This window comes from Homo sapiens, chromosome 7 (assembly GCF_000001405.40).
Source record: "Homo sapiens chromosome 7, GRCh38.p14 Primary Assembly".
In the NCBI taxonomy this organism is placed as follows: Eukaryota; Metazoa; Chordata; class Mammalia; order Primates; family Hominidae; genus Homo; species Homo sapiens.
In genome coordinates, this window is record NC_000007.14 from 36,909,166 (window position 1) to 36,934,240 (window position 25,075).

The 25,075-nt window shown below is 41.6% G+C and overlaps 1 protein-coding gene and 1 non-coding gene across 16 annotated transcripts in view; both read right to left on the reverse strand.

Annotated features, from left to right (window-relative positions):
* The window catches only part of ELMO1 (engulfment and cell motility 1), a 596,421-nt gene that overhangs the window by 56,260 nt on the left and 515,086 nt on the right, over positions 1-25,075 (reverse strand). The window lies entirely within an intron of this gene.
* Positions 10,192-10,267, reverse strand: MIR1200 (microRNA 1200). Its single transcript, NR_031604.1, has one exon. It is a non-coding gene; the product is annotated as a microRNA 1200 (primary transcript).

A 25,075-nucleotide genomic window follows, 5' to 3' on the forward strand; every position in this document is an offset into this window, starting at 1 on the left:
ATGCTATTGCACTAAGTTGGTAAAAAGATTAGTGAGTAATGCATAGCTCCTATTGAGTAGTAAGTAAGCACTCAAGTAGTAAGTAAATAAGAAAGGTGTTTATTATAAATGAAATCCATCCACCAAGAGAATTTTACTTCTGTTATTATTGTGATAAAGGAGTCTTGGAATTAGCATGGACATCTGACAGGTGAAAACTGGGAGCCAGGGAATTTGCTGGGGGTAGAAGGGACAAAGATGGTTTCTGCTTTGCAAAATGGTGTCTGCTGATGGGGCAGGCAGAACTGCCATCTCCTACAATGAATGCCCAAGGAACTGTAGAAGCTAAAAAGCGATCAAAGATTTTAGGAGCAAAAGGGGACATGCGCCATTGAACATGGCATGAACTTGATCATTTAAATTAATTGGTTCTTTTTTCGTGTGTGTGGGTTGGTAACTATGGGCTTGTACGTACAGGTACACAAAGACTGATTAAATGCTGAAAAAACTGTAATGCTGAAAATGTTACAAAGTATTTTTGGTTTATTTGCCTAAGTTTTGTTTTCTGATATCTCACATTGTAAGAGTGACTTTTCCTTATTTGCTTTGGTTATATTTAAAAAATGGAAAGTCTTTTTCTTCAAGGATTTAATTCCAAACCTATGACCATATTGTCCCAAAGTACTGGTGAGGCCTCCAGAAGATCTCAGAAACAATCTTGGGAAGTAATAGAAAAATTCAATGCCAGCAATAAATAAATGAATGAATGACCAAATGAATAAACAGACAAATAAATGGGAGTGAGTTACAACTGAAGATCAAAAAGTGTCTCTTATCAATACTCCATTGCCCCTTCTTCTGCGTAAGGCATTGCATAGACAGCAGGAAACTAGGGGTGAGGTGGGCATAGATAACAGGAAAGTAGGGGTGAGGGAGGCACAGATTAGTATAGAACTCAACTCACACTCACAATATTATTAGCAATAATATAATAATAACTTTTGAATCCTGGAATTTTTGGCTAAGCTGGACTTTAGAGGTCCGGTTGATGGATCTGCCAAGATAGAATTAAGTGGCTTACTCAAAATCATACGCCATATAGTGGCAGAGCAGGGATTTGAACCTAGAGCTCCCTATTCCTACCTGCTCCAGGCTGTCTGCTTTGCAGGCACTGGTGCCAAATGAACAGGCTCTAGTGCCATGTGATTCAAAGGAGGAAAGACCACTTCCATTTCAAGGTGGCTGGGAAACACTAAATGAACAAAGCAGGCTCTGATGGGTCCTGCAGGATGGGTATAATCTCAATCTAAAAAGTGGAGTAAGGGGAGTGGTTAGAACTTTGCAGGTCAATGGAAAGACAACTGCTCAAGATCAGTTTGGCTCTAGTGAAAGATGGAAGGAAAACAACAGGCACTGGAATCAGGCAGAACTGATTCCAAATCCTTGGCTTGCTCACTTGCCATCTGTGTGTCCTTGGGCAAATTCCTAAACCTCTCTAGGTCTCAGATTCCCAATAAATGAGAGTGTACAGTGCAGACCTTGCACTGTAGGGGAAGGGTTAAAAGAGAGAATGTTGGTCAACGAGCTTTGATAGGACCAGATATAAACGATGGCTGGAAATGCAAGATCTTAGAGCAGACGAATGAAGCTATACAGTCAAAGATGAACAGTTAAGGAGGACACGTGGTGCCTCCCTGGCTTTGTGTCTGTCTTTTCCTACTGCTCCTGTGTAACCTTCAGCACATCCTTTCACCTCTCTGTATTTTTCCCCCAAAATGAGCTTGGACATCCTTATAACTTCTGACTTGAGTATTCTGAATAAGCTTGTGAGAAAATGCCTTCTAAACGAGGGGATATCTATCTTTAGGAAATCGATGTTGCTACTGTCCCTGGTCAGGAGTTGCCAACGGAACTTACAGTATGAGAGAGAAAGGTGTTCTCTGCCAGGAACAACCACCCACATGGTGCTGTGGAGAAAGGGATCTATTCTGGAAAGGACAATAAAAAATATTTTGTGCTTGGTTTTGCCATGCCACTAAAAGGATGGCACCCCAAGCAGGGTGCTGAGACATTATCTCTACAACTTCAAGATCAATGCGTCCTTTCCTCGCTGCCCCACCTAAAGAATAAAAAATACAAAAGATACAATTTTAGAAAAGAAGTGGATGCCAAACCAACATGACACAGTAGGTGAATGAAATAAGAAAGAAAAACGAGACATAGGAAGGACATAAGGCAAAATAAATACTATATGGGGCCATATTGAAACCTTTTCCAGTGTAAAATACACTTGGTAAATAAAAAGCAAGGCTGTAAATGCTTGCTCTTTTGGCATAACGGCTTCCAAACGAACATCTCATGATACTTTACTGGTATAAAGTGCATTTTGTCTCAAGGTATGATTAGGAAGAAGATAAGCTCTTTAAGCAGGTTTATAAATGGTGAAACTCAAAGCACAGAGAAATGATGCTGTTATGGGAATACATGGGTAACATACCTTAGACCTGATCCTGGGGTGTCTACCAAGAAGCCAGACCCAAAAGCATTGTCTACTGCAGAATCTGTCCCTTCCTCTAGTTAAGATCACCAAAAGTCATGCTGATATCTCTCAAAATGACTCTCCTTTCTCAAGAGCCCACCTCCCTTGCTCCCATCGGCCAACTCTCAGCTATTTGTCTTTAGCTAACTGGGTTTCTAAGGTGGCTCTGCAAACAGCCTGCTCCCCACATGTCATTAATCAGTCCCCACATATCATTAATCAGTGCCAAACTAAGCAGGCTCCAGGCCCAGCTGAGAATACAGCAGCTCGGCTCATCACCCCAACACCTCATGAGCAAACATGAGTGATGACTGTTGGGTAAACACCATGCAGAGAATGTACGTCAGCTAAATGAGTATTGCTTTAGATGTTACACCGAGGAAGGCTGCATGACAAATATTGATATCCAAGTTGTTCAGACATATAGTAATCTTCTAATGCGGTGAAGCTTGCTGGCATTTATTTAAAGTGTTAAATTGTGAGAAAGATGAAATCTGGGTCATTTAGTGAGTACATCCAGCAACTTCTGAGATACTGCATAGATGTACTGGAGCTGTAATAATTCCCACCCAAGAAAGGATACTATAGAGGGTTTGTCAGTGGTTATGTTAAAAAGGGTATGAGAGGCCCTGATTACAAGCAAAGGTGCTGCCACGCCCAACTCTCCTTAAGGAATGCCCATGCTTAGGATGGCACACCTATGGAAAGACACCTTAGAAAGGCAGCACAGTTAATTATCTCCAACATGAGTACTGACGGAGACTGTGTAAATCATAGGAGAAAGACAGGAGGGAGTTGCTGGGCCAAATCCAAACGGATTTATTTTTGAAATTACTAAAATATCCATAATAGTTAAAGCTCCTAAGGGCCAACCCCTTAGGATGTTTCAGGTATCTACTTACCTGTAGTAGAAAGGAGGAAAGAGATCAATGAAGTCGAGAGAAAACTGAAACTAAATGGGTCATATTCTTTCTCACTTTATTATTTTGATATCTTTTGTAAGGCATTTTAGTGATATAGAGTGGAAATAGCATGAGTATTGGAACAAAGATTTCTTCAGCAGGTTATTTATCACCTCTGAGCCTTAATTTCCTTCTCTGTAAACTGAAGATAATATCTGCCTCAAGCATAGTTACGAATATTAAATTAGATAACATAAGTGAAAGTGTTGAAAAGAATTTTTGGTGCACAGTATATGCTCAATAAATATTAGTTTCCTCTGTTTTTCTGTATATGTATGGCACGTATCACTTCTACCTCCCACTATAAAGCTTATTTTGTGTATCTTTGTGAAGCTGTGAAAGGATCTCAAAGTCAAGATTTATCTGAGGATCCATCTCCAAAGCACTTATTAGCACACTGCTCGGGAGGGGTACTGCTCTAAGTGAACGACTCACCCCATCAGACAAGGAACGGTGGAGCATGCACAACATGAAATTCTGGGTCTGCTGCTATGTTAATTACACTGTGTGTAATTTATAAATTCACATTGGCCACATTCATTAGACTGGGTTCCTCAAGGGAAACCTAGTATGTGGCAAGTACCCAGCAAATACTAAATAACAGAAAACTTTAATACATCTCTGTATCTGTTTGGGGACCCTGTTGATCTGAAAGGCTATTGTATTAGAGGAGAGGAATGTCAACAAGGTTAGATGGGGGAATAGAATGTATTTAATAAGTTTGTTTCACAGGAAATTACATAGAGCTTGTAAAAAGAGGCAAAATTTGGAGGTGAAAATTGCAGAATGTTTATATTTCTGTGATAGCAAAAGTGAGTTGAGTTCTGCACACAGAGTTTGACCAACTGAAGCCGAGGATACAGTGGAAGATCAAGTGTGTGTTCAACATTCTTACTGTCCTTACAGTAGAATCTTTGCCTTATGTAATGAATTGGGACAAGAAACGCCACATACGAGTCAACAAATAATAACAAAGCCTGAACATGTGTTCTACTAGCCCCACCTTGGAGGACAGTTTGGAGAGGAGTTTGTGAAACAGGCAAACCAGAAGGTCATGAGGAAAAGGTTTTGAGTGATGTATACAAGAGTTAAAATGAGTCCCTATGCTATAGTTTCTGGGTACTGCAGTTGTTTGCTGATCTACTGACTTGTGCTGATAACAAAGCATGTGGTCCTAGCTAGAATCCTCCAATCATACAGCAGTGGGGTAGGATCTTTGACAGTCTCTCAATATAGGACTTGGTAGTTCAGAGATTTGTTTGGAGTTTTAAAACTCCATGTCCCATTTAAAGCAAGGATTATTACCTGAAAGTTCTACAAACAAACTGAAATTGTGCCATATTTTGTGAACATGCACATGCACGTTTTTCTACCTTTGGAAAGTTGCTGGGGCTTTGACTGAAACTGGCCAGTGGCAGCTAGGTACAGGAAGCTATCTTGAAAGGAGAGCGTAAGGAAAGGGTAAGGAAAGCAGTTCACAAATAAGAGCCCTGGCTTCACACGGATGATATGAAACCCTGCTTACTTCCATGAATCCTGCCTCCTTGATACTGACCTGAGTGTCAGCTGAATGACAATTCTTATGAATCAGCTCTCCCAAAGTATAATATTATTTCTTCATCAACTTAGTATTGTTTGTAGCTAAAGAAATAAATTACTTGTATGTGTTAGGGCTAGGTGACTGCAAACTAAACGTCCTTTGCTTTTTAAACTAGTACTATATTAGAAAGTTTAAGGCTTTTCGCATCTTAATTTGCTTATATGAAATAGAGATGATAAAATTTACCCTATAGAGTAATTACGTAAAATAGATCATGCATATGAAAGCACTTTGTACAACGTAAGGTACTATATGAAATGAATGTACATTCTTTTTTTTTTTTTTTTGAGACGGAGTCTCACTCTGTCGCCAGGCTGGACTGCAGTGGCCTGATCTCGGCTCACTGCAACCTCCGCCTCCCGTGTTCAAGTGATTCTTCTGCCTCAGCCTCCTGAGCAGCTGGGACTACAGGTGTGGGCCACCACGCCTAGCTAATTTTTGTATTTTTAGTAGAGACGGGGTTTCACCATATTGGCCAGGATGGTCTCGATCTTTTGACCTCGTGATCTGCCCGCCTCGGCCTCCCAAAGTGCTGGGATTACAGGTATGAGCCACCGCACCCAGCCGAAATGAAATGTACATTCTTAACTCTCCATTGGTTTAGAATGATCAGACACATGAGTAAACTGCCTTCTGGTATAAAATGCAAGATTTCAGAAATTCAGAAATTCAAATTGTGAAATCCATACAGCTTTCATTTAGCAAAGCAGTTTTTTGTTTGTTTAAGAGATGGAGTCTTGCTCTGTTGCCCAGACTGGAGTGCAGTGGTACGATCATAGCTGACTGCAGCCTTGAATTCCTGGGTTGAAGCAATCCAGGTGTGCACCACCACATCCTGCTAATTAAAAAATATATATACTTTAAGAGATGGGGGTCTTGTTATGTTGCCCAGGCTGGTCTTGAACTCGTGGCTTCAAGTGAGCCAATCTTTCTGCCCAGCCCCCTGAGGAGCTGGGATTACAGGCTCAAGTCACTGTGCCTGGTGCTAACAAAGTGGTTTCTTAAACAATCAGCCCTACTAATAAAAGGCTAAGCTTACATGCATTTATTTTTGGTAATTTTTCTGTCTTGCTCAGAACACTACTCATAATATATGCATATTTGAAACAAAATTTCTCAGCCACATTTTTCAATATGTTTATTCTTTTATCTAAGATAGGAGGGGGAAAGAGTGATTTCATACTGTAAAGGATTCTAGTCAGAAGAGAGAAAGCAAAGATCTCCAAAGCTGTGATCACATTCAGCCCCCATTCAGGCCTTAGAGATGGATCCACCACAAAGGGCTTTCCAGCCACACACATCTTTTCGGCTTGAAGTACAGAAAGAATTCATGAATGAATGGAGAAAGCCAAGAAGAATCAACAACTTGGTAAACCAGAAGGCTGGACTGCTGTCTTCCAATCTTCCTTTCTGAGGCAAAGTAAAAATAGCATGGGTTTGTGTTGGCAATCCAAGATATCAAAGCAGGAGAGATGCTAACAGCTGAGTCACAGCGAGTGACCTGATCAATAAGGAGGATGAATGCAGCCAGAAACCAGAGATGATGTGGCTTGACCCCCAGGCAGGAGGTGAGCATTGGAAAAGATGTAAGCATCAACGTGATGCCCAGTGTGAGACAGAAGTACTTATAAAGAACTTCCTTCCCCAAACAGCCACTGCCTAGATAAGGTTCTGGGCGGCTAACTGATGTGGTGTTTATTTGGGGTCATCCTTGTGAGTGGAAAGAACAGACAGTGGTATGGGAGCTGGCGAGCTCAGGGAGGAAATCTAAGCTTTTCCCGTTAGTTTTATAAAGTTCAGTTTTGTCACCTTTAAAATGGATACAGCAATACCTCTCTCCTAGGGTTGCTGTAAGGATTCAGTGGAAGGCGGCACCTGGATGACCAGACCAGAACAGGTGTTCCATAAACATGGGAATTTCATCATCCCTACCTCCAATAGGCAGGAGGTTTAATTTAGGTAATTCTTTTGGTGTTAACTTTCCTCTCTCGTCATTTCCAGTCATAGCATCTTTGCACGAGCAGGGAGATTAGGGATCATCTAGGTCCAGCTTCTACCCAAGCCGGTGATAATCCCTGCCACACTCCTGAGATGCAGCCTTTCAGTCACCTGCTGGGACAGATTCTGTGATATGGAGCTTTAATTGTGAAAAATTGTGCCATAGTGGTTGAGATATGCCTACCTTATCAGGTTTTATAAACTCAAATAATGTAACAGTGTTTTCCAAAATGTAAAACACTATACAAATGTAACATGAGCAGAGAGATGAAAATAAATCAGTTTATATTAAGTAGTCTAGTTTTTTAAGACAGTGCTTCCAAGCTCCCCCATTCCTTTTAGCAGTAGAATCCCTTTTCCAATAGATTTTACTTACATAGTGCCTAAAGTACAAAACCAAGAAGGCAACACTTGTGTGGGCTAAATTGAGGAGGGGGCCTGTGCCCAGCCTTCCCTCTGGTTCCCCAGTTTCCACCCTCATTCCTCTTACACTGCCTATCAAACACTTGAGCTGCATCCCAGAGCTCCTTAGAGAAATAGCTGGAAACCTCCTGCTCTAAGGAGACAGAAAATTCTGACATCAGCCTCACATTTTCCTAGGCAAGGCAGAGACATCACAGAGGAAGGACTGGTTTACAGTGTTATTGGAGTGAAATGGCTCAATTTGGGTACAAGTGGTAATTAGCTTAATGAGGGCCAAAGCTGTAATTTCAACCAGCCTGGCTGTAATGTGATTTGAGATACTTTGCAAGAATTTAGGGGCAGAAAGGAAAATTCAGTGAAATCTGACTGATAGAAGCTGCAGGGTGCAATTTTTTGAGATCTCTGATTAAAACTCAGAAAATGTTTTAGTGCAAATAATACTTGGTTGCTTTTAAAATATGAATAACATGATTTAATTTATTAACAGGTAATTATTAATAGTTTCAAATCCTGCTGCTAGGTAGTAGTGTGACCTTGGGCAGTAGTACTGAATAAGAAATAACTACCTTATTCACAAAAACAGGAATAATATCCTTTTGAGTAGAAAATTATTTCATAAAAAAGATACTTAAATCACTAACCACAGATGAAAGTTGCTGGATTTATCTACATTAAATTGTAAGGATTTTTATTCAAAAAAGAAATTATTGATAAATAGTCAAATTATAAACGAAGTAAATTATTATAACCTCTGAAACTGACAAGGGCTTAACACCTAGAATATTAGAAAAATAGAGAATTGGATAAAGGATATAAAAATGCAATTTGCAGAAGGAAAAATCCAAATGGGTAAAAAGTATGTGAAAAGATGCTCAAACTGACTAGTAATCCAGGAGATAAGAATTGAAACAATTAAATGTCACTCTCAGACATCAGAATGATGAAAATTCAAAAGGTGGTTCATACCAAATGGGGATGTAAGGAGATGGGAACTCTGATTTGTTTCTATTAAGTAAAACAATCTGAAATTAAAGAGGCATACATCACATCTGGACCCCAGGATCCAACTCCTGGACACGTATCCCAGATATAACTCTCACAAAGGTCCCCAAGGGTCACAAATAAGGATGTTAGCTGCAGAATTCTCTGTGGTAGCAGGGAGCTGAGTGTCTATCAACTGGGGAAGATATAAACAAAATGGAATAAATGCAGACAATGAAATATTATGCAAATGTGGGAAGTTTATACAACATAGATATATCTGAAAACATAATACTGAGTGAAAAAATAAGCATTCTTACTTTCTATATAGTCTATATTACAGAGATTTATCATTTATGTAAATTAAAACAAACACACACAAAAATAATATATAATTTTGTAAAGACATTCATTTTAGTTCTAGCATATTAGGTGGTTCTCTGAGGAGGGAAGGAAATGGGTGTAGGGAATGGGGGGTGAAGAGGAACAATAACAAAATAAGAGGAGGGTCTTGCATGGCCTTAGGGTGACAATAAGCTATGAACTGAGCAGTATGCATAACTCAACTCCATATCTGAGGGCCAATTAATTCTTTAAACATTGTTGAGTTCTTGTACAGATTAAACCAGATCTATAAGTCAAACTTCTGGCAATGTAGGAGGTGCTCAACACCTATTTGCTCCCCCTGTGGCTCTCAGAAAATGTAAAAGGGATGGGGTTTTCTTTTGCTTCTCTAATAATTTTATAAGTGAAAATATGAGTCTCAAGAGAATGAGGTAAGAAGAGTAGCACTCAGATATGAGTGTAGAAGGCTAGTTCTCCACCCTGGGTGCATATCACAGTCACCCAGGGGATTCACAGAAAATTCAGATAATCAGGCCCAATCCACTCGTTCCCTCCCCCAGTGACAATGTGTATCATCATCTCTAAGGGCAGGAGGAATAGGGGCCAGGGCCAGGGTCCACAGTACATTTTGAAAAGCATTAGCCTTGTGCTGGAGGGTCTGTCTGTCCGCTGTGCTCTCAGCCACTCATGTTCTTTGGATTGTTGCTTTTGAAACTTTCAAGGGCTTTTGCTAAATAAAGCGTCACCAAACTGCTCAAAAAGAAATACATTTCAAAATATATGATTAGTGTATACAGTATGGTACCCCATCTGCTCTTCCAAAATACTTGAGTTTTAGAAAATAATGTGTAGACAGGTCTATAAATTGCTACCTCCCACAAAACAAAGTAGACTCACTTTAAGGGGTAAGGAAAAATATTTTTTTTCTTTTGGTTTACCCATAGCAAGAGAGTTAATCTATAAGAGCAAGCAAGCATGCCTTCATTCATTCATTCATTCATTCAGTCAGTCAGTCAGTCAGTTGGCACTTGGGCTAAAATAAAGTACTTTATTCTAGGGATGGTTCAGCTAACTTATAGGAATTTAGCATCCATAATAAATAGAACTTGCACAAACGTAGCAACTTTTCTTCTCACAGCTCAATATTCAAGCAAGTAAATATGCACCTTGGGTTGCAAGATCCTAGAAGGCAGAGAATGTAACTCTGTTGAATGTCACTATGTGCTCCATGTTATCCAGCATTTGGTTAATAGTGACTAGGATAATCGTTCATGTCTATTACATTTCCCACAGCATATAGCATCGTGTGAGTCTCAGCCTTTTCTAACACTGCTCAGATGCTGGCTGAAGACTTTGGGACTTCAGGCTATCCCTGACAAATTCCTGAACCAATCTCTCTGGCAAGTGATTGAGGCTCAGAATGGCTCAGGAGAAGTAGCATAGTAAACTAGGAAGAATGTGGGCTTTGGGGTCACAGAACTCTGGATTTGAAACCTGGTTCTCTCACTTATGGGCTAAGTCTCTTCATCTGTAAAATGGGATAATGGCATCAACCTTGCTGGGTTGCTATGATAATTAGATAATGTACACTCAGTGCCTAGAACAGAGTAGGCCTGGCAACTGTGGAAGGGAGGCTGCTGCCAATCAAAGTGTGTTGCTGCACACTCAGTATCAAGTATCCTAAAAGAAGCTCTGATTCCCCATTGCTCATGAAACTCTAGTTTGTATTTCCAAGCTCTGTGATCGATGCTGGGCTCACGGGGAAGAGTTTCTGCAATCCAAAGCTCCCATCAGAATGGGAGCCCTTCCTGAACCCTATTGCTAATGTGACTGCAAATAAAACAACCTGTCTAATCATTTCCATCTCCCTTCCTCTGATTCATTTAAGGAACGAATCAATGCCTTAATTATGTGAACCATTCAGAACTATAATGTGTCACGACTGGGAACGCCCTATGAGATGCCAAAAGCCCCACCCCTTTTGACATCAACAGTGGCCTGGATCAGGGATGCTTTGGTTCTTTCCTTTGGGCACTCTACTCTGGAATGATGTCCAATCACTTTCTTCTGCAAGGGCCAACCTCACACTTTATCCCTTCAGCCTGGCCACTAAGACCCAGCTCTTGCCTCTTCTACTCTGGCTAATATGCCCCTTGGCCAGGCCACCACACAGTCAACTACAGGGCTTATGAACTACCTGAAAAATATTTGCTGAATAGAAGTCAATGAGTATGTGAAAATGAATGAATGAGTGAATGAAATAAGTTGCTTCTCATCTCTGAATGAGATTTGGATTAATTGTTTCATTGGACTGTTGCCCCATGCAAGCAACTATCATCTGGCAGTGCCTCTGGAGGAAGAGGCTGACCTCATATAGCTCTAAATATGAAGTCCAAACATATAGTTTATGTTTCCTAATTCAGCTGATTTGTGGATATTAAAAACAACTGCCACAATGTCCAAAACTAGATGGTTCTTTAAAGTTAATCACAACATGGTTTTTGGTTTATATTCTAAAACATAATCTCTCACCCAATACATTAATTTACATATCCACATAATGAAATTCATGCATATATATGTGCACATATTTTAATGAATCTAAATAGATCACTATAGTTTTATGCATGAAAGGCTTTTAAAAAAATCTGGCATAAAACATAGCCATATTAAATCCCTCTCCAACATGGTAATTTAAGAACAGAATTTTCCATGTTGTTTTCTACTGCTGATTTCATTTTCTACTGTTAGACTGACCACCTTGTGTCTCCTGAAATGCCGTCTTGCTTGAAAAGTCCTTCTTAACTCTCCCACAAGTCACTCTCTTCTCTATGAACCCCAAATCCTTTTTATAGGTCTCCATGAGCAGTGTCAAGGTCTTCATCTATGGTCTGAATGTTTGTGTCTCCCCACCAAATTCATATGCTGAAATATAGTCCCCAGTGCAATAAAATATTAAGAGGTGGAGCCTTTGAAGGGAGAGGATTAGGTCATGAAGATTCTGCTGTAATGAATAGGGTTACTGAAGTTATAAAAGAGGTCCAAGGGAGCTTATTAGTCCCTTCCACCATGTGAGGACGCAAGAAGGCATCATCTATGGAGCAGGAAGTGAGCCTTTGCCAGGCACCACATTTGCTGGTGCCTTGATTTTGGACTTCCCAGCCTCCAGAACTGTGAGCAACAAATTTTTGTTATTTACAAATTACCCCGTCTAAGGTACGCTGTGACAGTAGCCTGAATGGACCAACACAATGTCTTTGAGAAGCAGTGTGGCCCTGTGATCAAGAGCGGGCAGGCCCACTGGACCAAATCTTCTGCCTTTGGAACCTGGCTCTGCCACTTACTAGCTAGCTGATACAGGCAAGTTATTAAACCTCTCTTGGCCTTAGTTGCTTCAACTGTAAGATGAGGACAAAAACAGTATCTAAAGTCTTGTGAAAATTATGACACCCATGAGCAGACATTTATGTCCTGGCACCAGAAACACAGCAGCAAACACAATGACAACTCTTATTATGTTGATGTTATTATTATTGCTATTATTATGACTACTACTCCTTTCTCACCTAGTTTGTGATTTCCTTGACAGGTGGAAGAGGTTCTCTTTCTTGCACCTGGCTCAAGAGTCAAGTAAAATTGTGGTTATACTTGTAGGCATTCAATAACTATAATGCATTCTCTAGAACTCCTCGTTTTCCGCACAGAAAAGCTCCCAAAATGCTCTTCAGTGAAGAAAGTGCTAGGATAGGATTCCTTGCACAAACCTCTCAATTATGGCAGTCTTTTATTTTTCAAGGCTGTATATCTCCTGTGAAAGTTCTCTGAGGAAGGATCTCACCTGGGGCATTTGCTGGGCTTTAGAGATTGGACAGGGCCCAGGTAAAGTCAAATAATACCTAAGAGTGGTAAGACCCCGCTGCGTATGCCTGTGTGGCATTGTCAGATCTCTTTTATTTTCTTGTGGAGTTTTCCCTATTCCCCATCAAACTCTTGAAATTCTAAATATTTGCTCCTTGCTAATTTTGTTTTTTTCTAGTCCCTTATGGAAATGAGGCAAATTTGGGGGAAACAAAGTATGGTATCTGTTTGCAGTAAACCAGTTTAAAGTTCTAATAAAATCAATAGGTGGTCAGGTGTCTAGTTGTGCAACTGAAGTAATTTAACATAAAGGAGAGGAAGCGGATTGAATGACGCTATTTTTGAAAGCAAACCCACAGATTCATTAGCTCTTTTACTAAGACTATATTTTCTCTCAACCTCAAAATTCACAAAAGCTCATGAACTTCTATTTTATTTTATACTCTTAAACACTTTATCACTTTTTTCCCTTTTAAAGGCAGATATCACAGACTTGCAAAAAAAAAAAAAAAAAAAAACCAACAGATAATTGAGTTCTTTTATCAGCCTCCTCCACCAGACACTTTAAAAGACATTTTATTTATTCTTGGCTTTTGGGAAAATTTCAGCCCACAGATTATTTGTCATTTTTTTATTTTGGCCAGTTTGTCATTATAATTAGTTTTATTCTTGGATTGCGGGATCTTTTCTTTCTGAAAATTAAGAAACCTTCCCAAAGATGACTTGACAGAGAAGGGAAAGGAAGGAAAACAAGTAAGACAAAGAAAAAAAATGAGAAGCTCCATCTTATAAATGAATATGACTTAACAATTAACTTGCTGCTGCCGGGAGGGCATCAAAGGGGCATGGTGGCTGAGTTCCAGGCAATAGTAAGTGTTCCCATGTGGATGCTACACTCAGCTGCCAGCATCGATCAAGGCCTAAGAACCCCCCTTTCATATTCGTCTTTCATGACAGCTTTTTAAATAATGGCTGAGTGTTAGCCTAAAACTTCATTCTAATGGCATGCTTCCTATGGAAAGTGTTCAGAGTCTCCCAATGCACCTCCTGTCTTTCTTAAAGGTGACGATGAGTAGAAATGACCACCAGCAAAGTGGTCATGGAGGATGGGCACACCACTGGTCTCTAGGGATCTCACTGTCACAGCCCAGTCCCTCGTCTGGAAGGCTGTGTCTAGACTTTCCCACAAGCTGTCACTCCCTCCAGTAGGCTCTCTCAAGTTCCAGTACCTGTCTCCATGGAAGCTCCTTCTGTGGGCAGTGGAACTATTAGATGGGTTAGCTATCTCACTGGACTGTGAGGTCCTCGGTATTTTTTCTTTTCTAGCATCCCTCAGATGCCAATTAATTAATTAAAGGAAAGGAGGAAAAAGACCAAATTCACAGGACAGAACACAACCTTATAGAACTAATGGGTTTGTTAGCATAACAATGAGTGAAATTTATCCTGAAATTGGACTCACATCTTGAAGCCAAACAGTGTGTGTCAATGTTATATCTCAGGTAGGAGAGTAAAGGTCAAGAGGAAATTCAATTTCAGTTTAAGAAAACAGTTCCAAGGAAGCTATGACCATTGAAAGCCTACAAGGAAGAAAATAATGATAAAAACCCTTGTATTGGTTGGATCCACAGGATCAGAGGGCTTAGTATGTGGGCTTAAGATTATCTAGGCCTTCCCCAGAGGAAGAGGCTGGGTGAAGACTATAGAATTTTCTAGGCACTTTCTGGAATTTAGAACTTAGTAACTGATTTTAAAAAATCTTCTCAAGAATGGCACATCCTGAATTACCTCTTTGGGATAAGGATCATGCCTTAATCCATTCAATTTCATTCAGGGAACTTCTACTTTGTACCATGTATTGGAAATTCAGAAAGGAACATAAATAATTCCAATAAATTATGAGAACTATAATATACTACAGGTATTGGGCAGAAAAGTAGCACCAAAGAGATGTTTGAGATAGGTCACGAATGATAAGTAGGAATTTTCCAGGCAGAAGGGAAGAAGAGAGGGACATTCCAGGCAAAGCTGTGGAATAGCCTGGCACATCTAGAAAACTGAAAGTGGTTCTATACGTGTGGAACACAAACAGTGAGGAAGCTTGGCTGGAGGAAAAGACGTGATGAGGCAATTATGGGCAATTACAGGAGCCTTGCACTCCAGGCCAAGGAGGCTGAACTCATTCTGCAGGAGCCACTAAAGGGTTGTGAACAAGGAGTGCTGAGGTCATGAGAACTGTGTATTAGAACAACTGCTCTTCTAAATACCACTTGTTTCAACCACACTCCACTTCCAAAGTCTAAATTTAGAACTTATAAAACATTTAGATTTTAGACTGTTGCCCAACTGCTTTGGCCTTGACTTTATGGTTTAGCTCATCTTTCCTAGGAGAAATGCCTCTTGTTCCTCTTTGGGGGTGCACTGAAACTGGGTGCGAGAGGTTTGCAAGTCCATGGGTGGGAGGCTGTGTCCACTCAGTATGCATCACCACCAGCCTACATGATATGTAGGTGCTTCCCAGCGAGGGCCCTCCTGCTGGCAGAGCATATCACCTTGCTCTCATTCTGGAACCCCAAATACTGAAACAGTGTAAAAGAAAACCAATGCTGTACAAAAAAATAGAATCCCAGAGACCTCAGGAGGAGTACGTCCTCTTAGCACTGCCTTTAAAAAACACACATAAACAAAGCTAAGTGGAAACACTGAGTAAAAATGTGTTTTCTCCTGCTGAAGCAGCACATTTGGCAAACTTTTACTTAAAGGAAATATATTTGGTAAATATAATGCAAATATTTCATGACAAGTACAGTGTGCACTAAACTTATTACGTTATAGGGGGGAGGAAGAGTGTAGAATCATTTCATCTGATGGAGGCCATCAGAGAACGGAGGGGAACAGCACCCCCATGGTGGGGGGTGGCACTGGCCAACTGGAAGGCAGGTGGGCACAAGAGAGCTTGGTGGTCTGGGGGAATAATTGAAAACTGAAGAAAAACTATGCAACAGCTTTGGGAAAGGTTGTGTTTTCTGCCCTCACTTTGCATTCTGTGGAGGAAAAAAAGCTGATGACTTTGAGGATACAGAAGTGATTTCAATTCAGAACAGTTTTACCCACTGTGGGAACACAGGGCAAAGTCTGATCATCTCCAGTGGTGGTGGGAGTGCTACTGGCATCTAGTGCGCAGAGGCCAGGGATGCTGCTACACGTTGTACAATGCACAGGACAGACCGCCAACCAGGAATTATCCAGCCCAGAATGCCCACAGTGCTGTGGCTGAGAAACCTTTGACTCCTTGTAAAGTTTCTGCCTGCATCCACCCTTGCATGCACCATTCCACTTCCCAAGGCTGCATCTGAAGACAACTGCCAGTAGATTTTTAAAAACACTATAATGTCTAAAAATAAAACCATTTTTATACTTCAAGGAACAAACAAAGCGATCATTTTTTCGTGACTCTCTGAGTGCTTGAACGCTTCCAGAGTCTGGGAAGAGCAGCCCTGCAATCTATACATAGCTCCCAGCCCCTCAGATCCTCCCTGTGCCGTGTCTGGCCTTGGCCTCTCTGGGCTGGCTGCTGCACAGAAGATAAGACCTTAATTTATGAAAGGATGCTATTCCTGGCAGGTAATGACCAGGTACTTCCAGGAAGGCCTCTCTTCCTTATGAGCAGAGTCTCTTCTGTCCCATTACTCCTTGGGTCCCTATATTGCCCCCAACCCGTTTCAATTTTCCTGGGGCCCCAGTGCAGGGCCTGAAAGCCCAGCAACTGTTTGGTCCTTTTCTTTTCACTTTGCCCCGACCCCTCCAATTCTAATTACAAAGACAGGCTGGAAAATGAATTTTTTAACAAGCAATTTTTAAAAAGGCAAAAGGTCCAAATGCCATTAAGGATCCAGAGCTCAGCCTGGCTATTACCTCTGACAAATCACCTACTCGTAATTTTCTTCCAACAAATGTCTGTGAGGGCTGCCAGGCTGCAGCAGAAATTTGTTTAATGACAATCTCTGGAAGTTTAAACACTCTGAGCAATGGTGATGGATGTTTCTATCCCCCAGCACCACCCCCTTGGCCTCTTTTTCAGTGCAGACCCAGCAGCGACACCCAGGACTGACTACAGATGACTGCCCAGGTCCAGAAGAATCAATCTCGATTTTACATGGGCTCTGTTCCTTCCCATTTCCCTCCAAGTCCCCTTCATCTTCATTCTTCCATCCCCAGAACCCAGCTTGGCTACAACTGCAGGGTAATATTTTTACCTTCCTGCCCTCCTTTTCCTGAACGTGTTACATAAGGAAGATCCCAGCTGCCCAAGGCAAAGAGGTGGAGGAAGGGAAGAACCCCAAATTCCAGACTGAGAGTCCATCCTCATCTCTACTCTGCTTCATAAGTCTCAGGACAATCGCAGATAGTCCCTTTGTTTTGCAGGTGAAGAACCAGGCTTGGGCCTGGAGTGACTCACTCAAGATCACACATATAGTTAGTGACAAGGGTAGGACCCAGGCCTCACTCAACTCCCATCCCTCTGAAGAATTTGGCTTTGAATTTTTAAACCTAGGTGGGCATTTTTTTCTTTGTTCTTCAGTATTGCAGCGTTAGGGCAAATTAGTTCTTTGTGCGACCCCCCTAGAGTCCCATGGGAGAAGTGACCCCCCCAACTGAGGTTGGAGTCTCAGGTTTTACCTTTTCCAGCTTTGGGATCCACTCAGAATTGTACTTAAACCCATATGACTGAAGTTTCCCCTCCCCTCCTTTTCCCCTTAGTGTGAGGAGGAAGAGGATAGAAAGAAAATCCAGCTACTTAGTGTCTTACACTAACCCTAAGGGACAATTCATTCACGTGTGCTCTTAATATACGGAGATGCAAATAACATAAGATCTGATACTCTGATGTTTCCATTTAGTAACTCATTGCTGAAGCTCAGAGGCCTCTTTCAATTCCTATATTGATACTCATGATTTATATTTTTCTATATTCCTAATGCAACAGAATCCCATAATTTAGTATGTGTTCTGCTTTTTGCATTAATTTTTTTCCTAATTCCATATGTGTTAGAGAAAAATTAAAATCCCCGTAACTTATTTTTAAAGCAAACAATAATTAGCCTGATAAGATTAGTTCCTATGGGAATTGTCTCTTGGTGATTAGCACCATTTAAAAAGATACCCAGCCTTTTAGTTTCAAAAAATATAACAAGACTAACACTTCTAGAGAAATTGCCATGCATTAGGAACATTTTAAAATGCTTTATATGGTTTCATTCATTGAATTGTCTCAACAACCCTAGGAGTAGATAACTATTATTCCCATTTTACAGACAAGAAAACCGAGGCAACTTGCCTGGGGCCACACCAAGAACCTAGATTATCTGGCTCCAGATTCCTTAATCACTATGCTATCCCTGCCTCAAGAGACACTCCTTAGCAAATGAGTTTAATGAACAAGGAAGAATGCAAAAGATATATAGTACTGGAGATTTAGAAACAACTAGCGAAATCAAGATTGTTTCTTTAACCTAATGCTTCTCGAACTTGTTGGGCGACAGAACACTTTTACGTGTTATGCCTGTTAACAATACCTTGAACACTTATTCCATGGAATATAATTTACAATCTGCTGCTCAACAGCAAAACCACATATAGAAATCCTTGTTTAAATTAGTGCTAGTACAGTTCTAGAGTTTACCTAGGCTGATTCTCACACTAACACCAAGAAGTAAGCTATAATTTTCCCTTGTGAAGAGTCAGAGTAGCAGAATTGAAAGCTTACAGTACACAAGGCAGCCCAGAACTGGGGACCACACAGTGGTTCCATACTCAGCCTTACTTTTGTGAGACAGTCCCAGACTATTTTGTTTTTGGTAAAACACATAGCCTTCCCTATACATTTAGCATCACTCTAGAGATCAAACTTGAAGGAACTAGTTCATACCAGAGTATGAATGAGTGACAGGGGCCCAAGGGCTATTTACATATTTAAATAAATTGGTTAATTCCAAGGACTGTCATTTTAACTACAGTAATGGGCTCAAGGGGAAGAGATTTGGGAGTTCAAATATCAGTAAATAGGTGATTGATCTCACAACAGTTCTGGGAAGCCAGCCTTGGATTTAATCTTAATAACTCATGCCAGTCAATCTCTGATTGTTCAGAAATCCAAAATTTATCGCTTTGTGCTTTAGCATTGTCTTTGGGTGATAGTAAATCTCTGAAAATCCTAAAAGGCAAATGAGAGAAAAAGAAGATTCAAAAGTTTTATTTATTTATTTATTTGCCACTTGTTAACCAAGAAGATAAACTCCTTTGATTCAAGTGAGGCTTCAGGATTAACGCCCGGATTCGTAAGTGCATCTTCCCTCTTCATGAGAAAACAGAAAGCTGGCTGTCTCCTGCCACCTGTACTTCTATCCAAGAATAGGATTATTTTAAAACATTCTAAATCTCCTTCTGCCTCCTTTCCCACCGACTCAACAGGGCCTTGACGGCAATGCTTACCCTTCCCCATCCAATCAATAAGACTTTAAGCAAATCATTTAGTGTAACCAGTCAAGAAGAACCAACTGTAAATCAGGTGCAGAAGGCAATTACAACAGCCTCAGTGACACACAAATGGCATTCTGTATTTGAAAAGTGAAGTCTCTGATAAGAACAGTATATTACACCATCGTTTTTTTTCCTTCTATCCAAGAAGCACTGACAAGAAATGCATCAGGGGCAGCGACACCCTGCAACAGAGAGATAACACCAACCCCTATTTCAGGCTCTGTTTGGTTCCCACTGCCTGGTTAACAATGCTCATCTTGAAGGAGCAGGCCGAGTAAACTCTCAGCCCCATTCCCAGGCCAGACTGTAACTATTACCTATGGTCTAAAGTGCAGTCAGTCATCCCACCCACCAGGGCTGTGGGAGAGGCCTCAGGGAATCAGACAGTCCTGCTGAGGAACTAGGGGTCTTCTTCCACTAGATTAAATGTGAAAGGGAGCTTTTCTGAAAGGTGAGAATGTACTAAAGTGTGGCATATGACACACAAAGAGCTGCACAGCACGTGCACCCACAACAAGGGACCAGAAAGACAGGAGGGACTGGTAGCAGCATGACCTCACTAGTCATGGGCAACCATCACCTATGGAAGTTTTATCTGGCCAGCCACTGAGCTACATGCTGCATCTGCCCTAATAGTGGAGATTACTAAGAAAGGGCAGTTGAGAGAGGTTAAGAGTTTTACTCGGGGCACCTGGCTAGCAAGTAGCAGACTCTGCTAGAACCAAAGCCCCATACTCTCTAGTACTGCCTCTAATGGGGTAAGCTTGGTCTAGGCAGCTACAGATTGGGGTATGGATTCCTGCCAGGCTTACTTCCTGATGTCCAGGGGCTGGCCGCACCACCAGCACTGCACTGACTCTTTCATCCACATAGAAGTGGGGTCAAGCTCCACATGAAAGTGCAAGTGCTGCCACCTCCTCTTAGTTCCCTAGGGTCACTCCCCCGTTAAGTCTCCTGCCTCTCAAATCTGAGTTTTCTGATGGAGTGCACACCAAAGCATTGGTAAATACACATCAAGGCATTAGATATGATGGAATGCACATCAAGACACAGGTAAATACACATCAAGGCATCAGATTGAAAATTTCTCTAAGCTGAGATTAAAATGATCACATAAATATTTCTTAATGGGGCAACATGCCACCCTCCAAACCTTTATTAAGCATGCTTTATGGTCTTCCAGCTCAGTGTTTAGTGTGGCCCAGCCCAGAATGGTCAGCACTCATATAATACTTGTTGAAAAAATAAACAATGAATGGGTCAAGCAGCTGATGACTTTTATAGAGAGTATGTCTTAGACTCACTGTAACACCACAATGTGAAAATAGCTGGCGATGTATACTGAAATATTATATATTCAAGTCTATGATGGTCAAATCTATTGTACTGGCTTTCAAATGCACTTGAAAACCATTACTCCCAAGTGAGTCCCCTGGAAACAAGCCAGAGCTTGTCCGGTCCATGAGTTACTCCCAAAGTATAAGTAAAGAGGTTCATCAGCTCTGCATATCCCTTCGGGAGCAATTGAGAAAATGAATAGTCTGCTGCTCCATGAGATCCAAGTGGCCTAATGAAATAGTGCATCTCCACAAGGCCCTAAATTATGTTGAGAGATTATGTTGGTCATTAGGTAGCACCCCTACTGTGAGGAGCACTGGTCAACGCAAATCAAAGAGAGTTGGGAAACACATCCAGTCACTGAGGAGTCATGAGCTCATTGCCTATATAAAATGCAACTGAACTGACTACCCTGGTGTACGGGTCTCCCCAGCCCATGGGCAAGCTACTATTTGCCAGGGAATACTTATGCCCTCTGGATGTGTCTAGAAATGGTTAGGTGGCTTTTTGGGCCCAATGTAGTTATGTTAACAAAATCAATAGCAAGCCAGTGTTAGGCTAATTCAAAAGCTGTATCTTGCTTTCAAATGGCAGATTCAGTGAATTTTAGTCCATGTTCATATACTGTAATATTTTTGGATGTGCCTTTTTAAGATAAAAAGAGTAGAAAGTCTAGCTCCATGCAATTCCCTCAAATGAAAACTACAATTTCCTAACCTTTGAAGGTTCATTTCTCTTAGGCTGTCATTAAAATTACATATGCTTTTAATTTGCTGAGTTGCATTTAGTGGGAAGCCTCCCAAGCCACATGCTGTGCTCTGTTACTCACTCCTGTATTCCAGGGGCATTGCTCCTCAAAAGAGTAGTCATAATTGAAATACCCTCTAAGATAGGATAAAATCATCTTCTACAGAACATGCTCAGGCACATCATTTTTTAATGCTGTGTTTTTAGAAACACCTCACTGATTTTTTAAAATAAGCTTGACTCTGCTTTCCTCCCTTAGTGAGAAAGTCTATCATTCCAAACATGTCATACTCACAATTTCAGCTGTTTTCCAATAAGGCAAGGGCAAAAACGGTCAAAGCATGTTTTCTAGGGTGAGAAAGACATGCTTCCTCTCTTTCTGCACAAAGGGGACACGCAGAAAAATTCAGTGAACCTTTTCAGACTCAACTTTGAGGTGAGAACATGCGCACCTTCAGTCTCCTATCTCTTCCTCCATCAGTCCTCAAAAGCGGTCAGAATGGATAAGAGTTTCTTTCTTTCCTATTACACTTCATTCATTTTTGTCAATTTGATAGTTAAGAAATGTAGTCTAAAATAATACAGAATTTAATAAGATGAAAGCTTTGGTCACTATCATGCTTATTGGGCACCATGCTAGAATGAAAAGGATGGATACAAATGTGGAATAAAATGTGCTTCCTTTAGAACATTTAAGGCAGCTTTTCGGGATTTATCCCAGAGAGTCAATCTCCCAGGACCAGTACTAGCTGCTTAAGACGTAATGGATGCTACTGGAATAGGGTCCTGTGGTGTAAGAACTTGTGGCCTTAAATAAAACTCTTCTTAAGACCTCAGTTTCAGGCCAGGCATGGTGGCTCACGCCTGTAATCCCAGCACTTTGGGAAGCTGAGGCGGGTGGATCACCTGAGGTCAAGAGTTCAAGACCAGCCTGGCCAACATGGTGAAACCCTGTCTCTACTAAAAGTACAAAAAATTAGCTGGGGGTGGTGGTGTGTGCCTGTAATCCCAGCTACTGGGGAGGTTGAGGCGTGAGAATCTCTTGAACCCGGGAGGCGGAGGTTGCAGTGAGCCGAGATTGCATCACTGCACTCCAGCTTGGCAACACAGCGAGACTCCGTCTCAAAAAAACAGACCTCAGTTTCATCATCTCCCCAATCACCACACTAATATAGACTCTGCAGAGTTGCTGTAGGATTAAATTATAAGCACGTGGCCAGCTCCCAGTGGCACACCCAGCACATGGTGGAGTGCATGTCCTGAATACATGCAACCTGAACACAAATCCAATGCTTGAGCTGCGTAACCTTGGGCACACGTGGAGGGAGATACATCCTCCACGAAAGGGAGAATGGTATTCCCTAGCTACAGACTTCTCTTAATAACCATCTGTGTGTGTTAAACACTAATTGAGCAAATTTTATGTTCTAGGAACTTTTGTGTATATCTTTCTCTCTTTAAGGATATGTAAGAAAATCAGAAAGCTCTGCATAATACATTGTTTCAGGTAACCAGATACTATACACAAGACTAAAGATTCAATATACTAAAACACATGCTGAGGTGTAAGATGATCTGCTCTTTGGAGAGTTAACTTCATTCATTCATTCATTCATTCATTCATGCACAGAACACTTAGTATAGCTGTGGAAAGAGGCAACCAAGGCACTACTAGACACCGTTCAATAAGACATGGATCCTGTCCACACATAGGGAAGGGTTCCCTCATGGTACATGGCTCAGTTTCCTTCATAAGAAGTATTAGTTTTCTGTGTTTTCTCTCTCTCAAGGAGTTCCCTGATTAACTGGGAGACAAATGAAAATCAATTCAGGACTGGGCGATACGTGATAAAAGAAAACAATGTGCTGAATACCCTTCTGTCACTTCCAGTTTCATGAATGGAGAAAAAAAGTGTGTTAGATTTAGGAGTCCATCTACTTCTAATTAAGAATCTTGAAATGCATGGATGAAAAAATCTCCTGAATTCAGACCCTGCTAAATGCAAGTCTTTGTACTTCAGAAAAGGATTGACTGTGGCTTACTCTTGTGGGGGCAAGGGCAACAGTGAGAATACAGTGCAAAGTAAGTGAAACAAACTAAGTGAACGAAGTGAAACAAAGCTGGAAGGTTCTATGGAGTCTTATGCTTCTGTAACTGAAGAAAAAGCAGGCTGAGAGGATCAGAGAGGAGACAGACACAGAGCAAAGATGAGATCTGATTTCATTCTTCTCTCTGTGCCTCTAATATCCATTAGACTCTTGGATGTTTCCAAGATGCGGGCTCCTTGTACCTCTTCAGCCTGCTCTGTCAGGCTGGCAATACCCTCTGTGTGCTCCATTCATCACTGAGTGTCCAAGCTCAGTGCCCGGGACAGCAAGAGCTCCCTAGATGTTTGTTCAGGCAACAGATGAGTGGGAAATGCTTGCTCTCCATGTCTGAGATCCTCTGGGGTGCTGCAGAGACAGTGGGCGGATGCCTTCCCAGGGCTGGTGCTGCAGCCAGGGCTCAGAGATCGTGTAGAGACTGACTCTGAAAAGTTGTGAAGCTATCACTTCTGTCCCATTCTCAATCACAATCCCGCACTGCCATGATAGAGGGACAACGAGGTGTCCTTTTGGCCCAGTTAACTTCTGCTCAAAGCAGCTCAGAGCACGTGGGGCTAGACAGTATCTTTATGTCACTCACCCGTGCTTTGAGAAGACTATGAGACTCCAGGCTGCAGGCGAGGAATCACTGTATCCCAAGCTTGCTTAGATAGGACTCTTCACAATGTAGCTAAAACAATACAGGAACAGAGTGTATAATGGCATTTTTAAGGATATTAATCCATTTGGTCCAAGGTGCCCCAGACAGGAAGAACTAGTCGCTTTATCTAAAAAGTCCAGGTCATTTTCTAGTTGAAGATCCTCAAGGGCTTACATCTGCACTCTTATCTTGGAACTTGGTATGGGAAGACGAATAGTAGTTCCTGCTAAGCCTCTAAGGTGAGAAGTGAGCTGTGAAATCACAATTGCATAAGAAGCACTTTAAATGCTCTGTGTGAAATACTCTCTGCACTTGGATGCCCTAGAGTGACAGGTGTGGGGTGCTGGGAGGACAGAAGTCTAGGACCAGGGCAATAGGATGTGTGCAACGCTTTCCTGCTAAGAGGCTCCGTCTCTGTGGGATGAAGGGCAACCCAGTGGGATTCTTCCAGACACATGACAACTCAGGGAGTTTTGGGGAATCTGGCAGAGCAGGCAGAAGTTGGAGAGGAGAATGCAGAGGCAGGTAGCACTGAGGCACCTGCCAGAAAGGCAGCGGGCCTGAGGCTTCATGGCTGCAGGCTTGTGACTTCAGGTCTGTGATCTTCAATGTTCAAAAGAGGCAGGGCTCACCTCGGAGTATCAAGGGGCAGGACTTCAAGTTGCCCGTCCCATCTGAATGACAACAGCTCTGCTGTACAGCAATTATTTACTGAGTTTCCGCTAAGCCTTTTTTGTTTTGTTTTGAAAAAGGGTTTGGTATGGAAAGGTCTGAAATGTGCTGATACAGGCTCTCCCAGCAGGATCCCAGCAGCTTTGGGTGGCTTCTGGGGTTGGAGAGACCCCTCTGGGAATGAAGCCAAGAGGGCTGGGTTGAGGGTAAGTCACAGGTTTGGAGGGAATTTGCAAGGGAGAGTAAGTTCTTGCAGAGATTGGGCCATGATAGCAAGAAACGGACTGTGGCGAACTAGGGCAACGCGGATGACAAGTCACATGCCTGGCCAATTTAACTCAGCCCTT